This window comes from Homo sapiens, chromosome 2 (genome assembly GCF_000001405.40).
Source record: "Homo sapiens chromosome 2, GRCh38.p14 Primary Assembly".
In the NCBI taxonomy this organism is placed as follows: Eukaryota; Metazoa; Chordata; class Mammalia; order Primates; family Hominidae; genus Homo; species Homo sapiens.
In genome coordinates, this window is record NC_000002.12 from 202,623,775 (window position 1) to 202,631,617 (window position 7,843).

The following is a 7,843-nucleotide window of genomic DNA, read 5'->3' on the forward strand; positions in this document are numbered from 1 at the left end:
CAAGGCAGGTGGATCACCTAAGATTGGGAGTTTGAGACCAGCCTGATCAACATGGAGAAACCCTGTCTCCACTAAAAATTAGCCGGGCATGGTGGCGCATGCCTGTAATCCCAGCTACTTGGGAGGCTGAGGCAGGAGACTCGCTTGAACCCCGGAGGCAGAGGTTTTGGGGGCACCGAGATCGCGCCATTGCACTCCAGCCTGGGCAACAAGAGCAAAACTCCATCTCAAAAAACAAAAAACAAAACAAAACAAAACAAAACAAAAAAACACTGTTGCCATTTGCAATTACTTCTCTGTATTAATAAGGATTTTCTCAATATTGCTCAACCCAAACAAAATACAGAAATATTTTGGATACTGAAACTATCATTTATAAACCCTAATTTCAAATTGTAATGCTCACCAAAATAACCTTGTTTTCTGAGATTACTTTTTTTACATTAGATCTTTCTTCAGGGGCTAAAATGAATACATAAACATTGCTTTTAAAACTTCAAATAGTACAAAGAGGGTGTATACAAAAGGACATGTTCTTCCTTTCTCTACCCCTCCCAGTTCCCCTTTTCAGAGGCCAGTTTCTTGGGAGAACCTCCAGATATTCTATGCATGTGCATATAACTATGCATATAACTAAAGTCTTTAAAAAGCAAAGGCCGGCCAGGTGCGGTGGCTCATGCCTGTAACCCCAGCACTTTGGGAGGCCGAAGCAGGTGGATCACCTGAGGTCGGGAGTTCGAGGCCAGCCTGACCAACATGGAGAAACCCCGTCTCTACTAAAAATACAAAATTAGCCAGGCATGGTGGTGCATGCCTGTAATCCCAGCTACTCGGGAGGCTGAGGCAGGAGAATCGCTTGAACCCAGGAGGCGGAAGTTGCGGTGAGCCAAGATCGCGCCATTGCACTCCAGCCTGGGCAACAAGAGCAAAACTCTGTCTCAAAAAAAAAAAAAAAAAAAAAAAGAAAGAAAAGGCTATTGGTAGTATACACTGTTCTATATCATGTTTTTGTTTAATTAGCATACTTTTTTGAGACAGAATCTCACTCTGTTACCAGGCTGGAGTGCAGTGGTTCAATCTTGGCTCACTGCAACCTTCCCATCCTGGGTTCAAGTGATTCTTGTGCCTCGGCCTCCTGAGTAGCTAGGATTACAGGCACGTGCCACCACGCCCAGCTAATTATTGTATTTTTAGTGGCGAGACAAGGTTTCGCCACATTGGCCAGGCTGGTCTCAAACTTCTGGCCTCAAGTGATCTGCCCACCTCAGCCTCCCAAAGTGCTGGGATTACAGGTGTAAGCCACTGTGCCCAGCCTCAATTAACATATATTTTAATACATAGATTGAAGAGTTTCTGAAAAGATACAAGAACTGCTGGTATAGTGGAAACCATATCTCTGAAAGTACAATGTCAATAAACCAAAAGAGGAAGGATCAATAAACCAAAAGAGGAAGGAGCAATACTGTCCTTTTAAGAACCAGAAAACGCCCTATGACAGTTGATATTTGAGTTGAAACTTTTTCTTTTTTTTTTCTTTTTGAGACAGGGTCTCATTATGTTGCCCAGTCTGGTCTCCAACTCCTGGGCTCAAGCGATCCTTCTACCTCAGCCTCCCAATTAGCTGGGATTATAGGCATGCACCATTGAGCCTGGTCCTAAGTCGAATCTTGACGGAATATTGAAGCATGGCAGAAAAGTAGATTGTTTTAAGTGGTAATATTCACCAATTCCAAACATAATTTCTTTCATTCTCCTTCTTCTTCCCTTTTCTCTTCTTCCCAGCATGTTAGATGGTAGGTACAAAATATCTTGGGCAGCTGCTGGTCTGTTGAAAATCATCCTGACTGGGCATGGTGGCTCATGCCTGTAATCCCAGCACTTTGGGAAGCCAAGGCGGGTGGATCGCTTGAGCCCAGGAGTTCAAGACCAGCCTTGGCAACATGTAGAAACCCCATCTCTACTAAAAATACAAAAATTAGCCAGGCGTGGTGGCATGCATCTGTAGTCCCAGCTACTTGGGAGGCTGAGGTGGGAGAATCACCTGAGCCTGGAAGTTCAAGGCTGCAGTGAGCTGCGATCACGCCACTGTACTCCAGCCTGGGTGACAGGGCAAGATCCTGTCTCGAGAGTCTCTTGGGAAAAAAAAAAAAAAAAGAAAGTCACTACCCTACTGTGGTGAAAGGATGCTGGAATAAGAGTCGAAAGACCCCAGTTCTAATTTTAGGAAGCCATTTAACCTCTTTAGTTTCCTCATTTATATCATGAAGATACCATATGCCTGTCTTTTTTATTAGATTTTTGAGACAGTCTGCTGAACTAGAGTACCATCATATGGTGAAACCAAATTGGCTTTGGAGTCTAAAATCATGGGTTTGAAATCAGTAGGTTTTTTGTTTTGTTTTGTTTTGTTTTGTTTTGTTTGCTACTGTGAATGGTATAGTTGCTAAATCATTCATTTCTTTAGCAGGAAATTATTGGGTATCTGCCATATGCCAGCCTCTGCTAGGCATAAAGATACAAAGGTGGACAAGACAGACAGGATCTTAAATTGTAATTTTTTTGAGCACTTAGTGTGTACCAGGCACTGTGGTAAGGCAGAGAAGTAATGGTAAATCCCTAGGTAGCCTCATGTGTCACACGGGTGCAAATAATGTCTATGTGCTGAAACCTCATGGTCTGACTTCTCTGAAACTGAGTTTTATATATCCAACATATATTTTATTTATTTATTTTTTTGTTTGGGGATGGAGTCTTGCTCTGTTGTCCAGGCTAGAGTGCAGTGGCGTGATCTCGGCTCACTGCAACCTCCACCTCCCGGGTTCAAGCGATTCTCCTGCCTCAGCCTCCAGAGTAGCTGGGACTACAGGCGCACACCACCACACCTGGCTAATTTTTGTATTTTTAGCAGAAACGGGGTTTCACTATGTTAGCCAGGCTGCTCTCGAACTCCTGATCTCAGGCAACCTGCCTGCCTTGGCCTCCCAAACTGCTGGGATTATAGGCATGAGCCACTGTGTCCGGCCTATTTATTTATTTTTTGAGACAGAGTCTTGCTCTCTCACCCAGGCTGGAGTGCAATAGTGCAGTCTCGGCTCACTGCACCCCCTTCCGGGTTCAAGTGATTCTCCTGCCTCAGCCTCTGGAGTAGCTGGGATTACAGGCACCCGCCTTGGTGCCTGGCTAATTTTTGTATTTTTAGTAGAGACGGGGGTTTTGCCATATTGGCCAGGCTGGTCTCAGACTCCTGACCTCAAGTGATATGCCTGTCTCGGCCTCCCAAAGTGCTGGGATTACAGCACCTGGCCTCAACATTTATTTTAAATAATTCATTAGAAACTCAAACCTAGTATGTACAAACCTAAACTGATTTCAGTACCATGGCTTTTCCTTCCTCCACTCTTCCCCTTCTCTATAAACACACCACCATCTACCACGATTTTCAAGCCAGAAATCTGGGGGACTTCCCCAAGAGACCTCCCATACTTCCTATCACCTGCAAGACGAGTTAACTCTACCTAGAAGGTAGGTCTTCTAGTGAATCCATCCACTTTTTCTGTCTCTGAAATCCCCCTTGCTCAGACTTCTTTGCAATAGGCTTCTTACGATTTTCATTACTTCCTGATCTCCTACAAGCCATTCTCCATACAGTAGCCAGAGTGGAGTTGATTCTCAGCGTGAAAACAACAGCAACAGCAGCAAACTTTAATTCCCAAACCTTCCTGAGAAGATTCTTCCTCTGGGTTCTGGAGCTTCTGTTGTGCTACTCAGGATAAATTAATTAGAGATGCAGAAATAGTGAGGTCAGAAGGAACAGATTGATATACTTTAGTTTAGCAAAGGCAGGGAGCTATTCAAGAAGCAAGAATGAAGCCTAGGAGGTGAGAGAATGAGGCCAAAGAAAGAAGAGCCAGGCCCAGGTCTGGCCTATTTTTAGAGAGACGAGGGACTGGAGACTGTTGCTGTGTTGTGATGAGTAGAACTTGGAGACAGAGATCAAGTTTTTTTATCGTGTCTATTGAGACTCATGCAAATAAATTCCCCTTTCATAACGTTTTGTTATATGTCAAATATCATGCTTATTTCATAGATTTCAGTACATATTAGATAGCCTTTCAGTCCTACTTTAACAGGTGTCTGTTGTTTCTTTTGAGTGAGACCTTGTGCTGATGGAGGCAATGAATGAGCTCAGCTCTATTCAAAATACATTATTGTACTTAGAATAAAATCTGAATCCCTTACCAGGGTCTCAAAATCTCTGCATCATCTAGCCTTTACCTCTCCCATCTTATCTCTGAACTACTCTCACCTTTGCTGATGCTGCCCTTCCTCTGGTTCCTTAAACAAAGAGAGCTGTTTCCTTTCTCAGGCTCTATGCAGCTATTTCCTGTTTAAAATGTTCTTTCCATGATGGCTTATTGTTTTTTGTTTGTTTGTTTGTTTGTTTGTTTGTTTTTTGAGACGGAGTCTCACTCTCTTGCCCAGGCTGGAGTGAGTGCAGTGGCACGATCTCGGCTCATTGCAACCTTTGCCTCTCTAGTTCAAGCAATTCTCCCGTCTCAGCCTCCTGAGTAGCTGGGACTACAGGTGCATGCCACCACACCGGGCTAATTTTTGTATTTTTAGTAGAGACGGGGTTTCACCATGTTGGTCAGGCTGGTCTTGAATTCCTGACCTCATGATCCGCCTGCCTCGGCCTCCCAAAGTGCTGGGATTACAGGGGTGAGCCACCACACCCGGCTGGCTCATTCTTATCTTTTAGGTCCCATCTTAACTTCAGAAAGGACTTGTCACCTAGCTTAGCTAGATCTCTACTATTGTTCTCTTCGATGGCACTGTGTTTTTTTTACAGAATTTTGCAAATTGTAATCTATTTACATGTGTAGTTATATGTGTCTGCACCCATGCATGTTTTATTTACTTGCTCACTGTCTCCAGCAGATGTTAACTCCATGAGGACAAGGAGCTTGTGGGTTTGCTCACCACTGTAAAGCCATCACAGTGCTCTGCACATAGAAGGCAGTCAATGAATATTTGTTGAGTGAACAAATAAGCTCTTATGGAGGTTAACACTGAGAAGGAAATACAGATATTGAACAAATAATCATGTTATGATGACTATAACAGGGAAGTATGATGTTACTGTAAACCCAGGGAAACTAACTTAAGTGGGGTGGGTGGGTATGACAACCCAGGCCTCCTCCATCTAAAAACTGAGAAGTTGGCCACGTGACAAGAGTGAGACGTGTTCCAAGGAGAAGAACTAACATGTGTGAAGGAATTAGGATGAGAGTATTGTTTTTGGGGGAAATGAAAGAGGAGCAGAATGGCGGGAGCCTAGAGAGGAACAGAGGTCAGAGGTGGGCCCATGGAAGTTATGGGAAGCCTCAGGACTGGGAGATTGGTCCTAAGAAAGGATGGTAAGCTTTAGGCTGTGTAGTGAGGTGATTACATTTGTGGTTTTAAGATACCACTATATAGATGTGTGGGGAATTGGGAGCTTGGAGAAGTAGGGTGGGGCAGAGATGATCTAGAGAGACTGGCTAAGTAAGAGTAAGAGTGCAGGCCAGAGAAGATAGAGGCTTGGCTAGAAGGGATGGTATGCCTGGAGAATAGTAGTAGATTCATGAGCGATTTAGGAACAAGAGTAGTTAAAACACAGTGATTCACTGGCCTTACCCCAAGGAAGGGGGAGAGCCAAGATGACTTCTAGGGTTTTGATTTAGACTACTTAGAAGATGGTGGTACCACTGACTGAGATAGGGAAGACTGCAAGAAGAGTCAGTTGGTGGTGGTGAAGAGATGATGAATTTTATTTGTGGACAAGGTTTGTGGTACCTGTGAGATATAGGAGAAGAGATGCCAAGCAGGCAGTTGAAGAGATGGCAGTGTGATGGTCAGTGGAATTCTGGGCACAAATGCAGCTGCCAGTCTAGGAAGTGAAAGGCTTAGATGAGGTTCTCAGGCACTCTTACTTTTCAAGGGTCAGAATGAGAAGGAGCCAGCAAAAGTGACCAAGGCAGTCACAGAGATAAGAAGGACAGCTGGAAATATGTAGTGCTATGGACACACATTTGGCCTAAGACAAATTTCAGTGAAGTAACAGTCAGATTTTACATACAGAATATCACTCAGGAGTTCAAGTTCTTACAATTCTCCTTTTAATTAGGAAATCATGTATCAACATTTCTTGGGGAAAAACCTCTTTTTTTGTTTTTAGATACAAGGTCTCACTCTGTCACCCAGGCTGGAGTGCAGTGGTGCAATCATGGCTCACTACACCCTCAAACTCCTGGGCTCAGAGGATCCTTCCACCTCAGCCTCCTAAGGAGCTAGGACTACAGGTGCGTGTCACCACACCTGGCTAAAACATATGTGTATATATATATGTGTGTGTGTGTATATATATATGTATGTATTTTTTTTTTCTGGGTGACAGAGTCTCACTCTGTTGCCCAAGCTGGAGTGCCGTGGTATGATCTCAGCTCACTGCAACCTCTACCTCCTGAGTTCAAGCGATTCTCGTGCCTCAGCCTTCCGAGTAGCTGGGATTACAGGTGTGCGCCACCATGCTTGGCTAATTTTTGTATTTTTAGTAGAGAGGGAGTTTTGCCATGTTGGCCAGGCTGGTCTCAAACTCCTGGCCTCAAGTGATCCATTTGCCTTGGTCTCTCAAAGTGCTGGGATTACAGGTGTGAGCCATTGCACCAGGCCCTAATTTTAAAAGTTTCTGTAGAGATGGAGTCTTGTTATGTTACTCAGGCTGGTCTCAAACTCTTGGGCTCAAGCAATCCTCCCAACTCGGCCTCCCAAAGTGCTGGGATTACAAGTGTGAACCACTGTGCCTGGCTTTATTTTCTTTCTTTTTTGAGGCAGGGTCTCACTCTGTCACCCAGGCTGGAGTGCAGTGGTGTGTTCACGGCTCACTGCAGCCTTGACCTCCCAGGTTCAGGTGATGCTCCCATCTCAGCCTCCCGAGTAGCTGATACTACAGGTATGCACTACCATGTACAGCTAATTTTAAAATTTTTTGTAGAGATAGGGTTTTGCCATGTTGCCCAGGCTGGTCTTGAACTCCTGGGCTCAAGGCATCTGCCCACCTAGGCCTTCCAAAGTGCTGGGACTATAGGCACTGTGCCTGTCCTCAGGCCTCTATTTTCATGTCAGTATTTTATAAAAGGTGTATGCCTTTTATACGATTAATTATTATAATTACAATGGATGCATACTTTTGATTTTTTTCATTTAAAGTGAAAGGAATTTGTGATTTCATAATTACCATTTTGATGGCTGTATAATGTTCCTTCAATGACATTTTAGAGGTCTGTAAGTGGATACAGCTGATTCTAGAATAACTAAAGGAAGAAAAGAAACCACTACAGGACAATAAACTTTTTCATAAAACCCATCTTCTTTTACCACAGCAGGATCATTGTAGAGTTAAGCAAGCACAGGAGCAAATGAGCCTATCAATAATTTTGTCTTTTGAAGTTTAAATACAGACAAACCAATTCCAATATGTTGCTTTTTGTCTACAATTTTATGTAGTCACGTTTCAACCTCGGAGAGAAAATGAGAAAATTTGAATTATATCCTAAGAAGAGCAGGGTTAAACTAGAGGGAGATACGTTTATTTTGTTGATCCTTGAAATACAAGGACTCTCTTTGTAGATAAACCAGCAAACTAAAAACCAATACATCACCTTGATGCACATTGTTTTCTTTGAATCTTCAACAATAGATAATGAAGTCAAGAGTAAATGATGCTTTTATTCATTGCCATTAAATCTTAAAAACAGACTGAAGAGCTCTAAGTTATCGAAGCAAGTTTTTCTCTTCTTTTTTA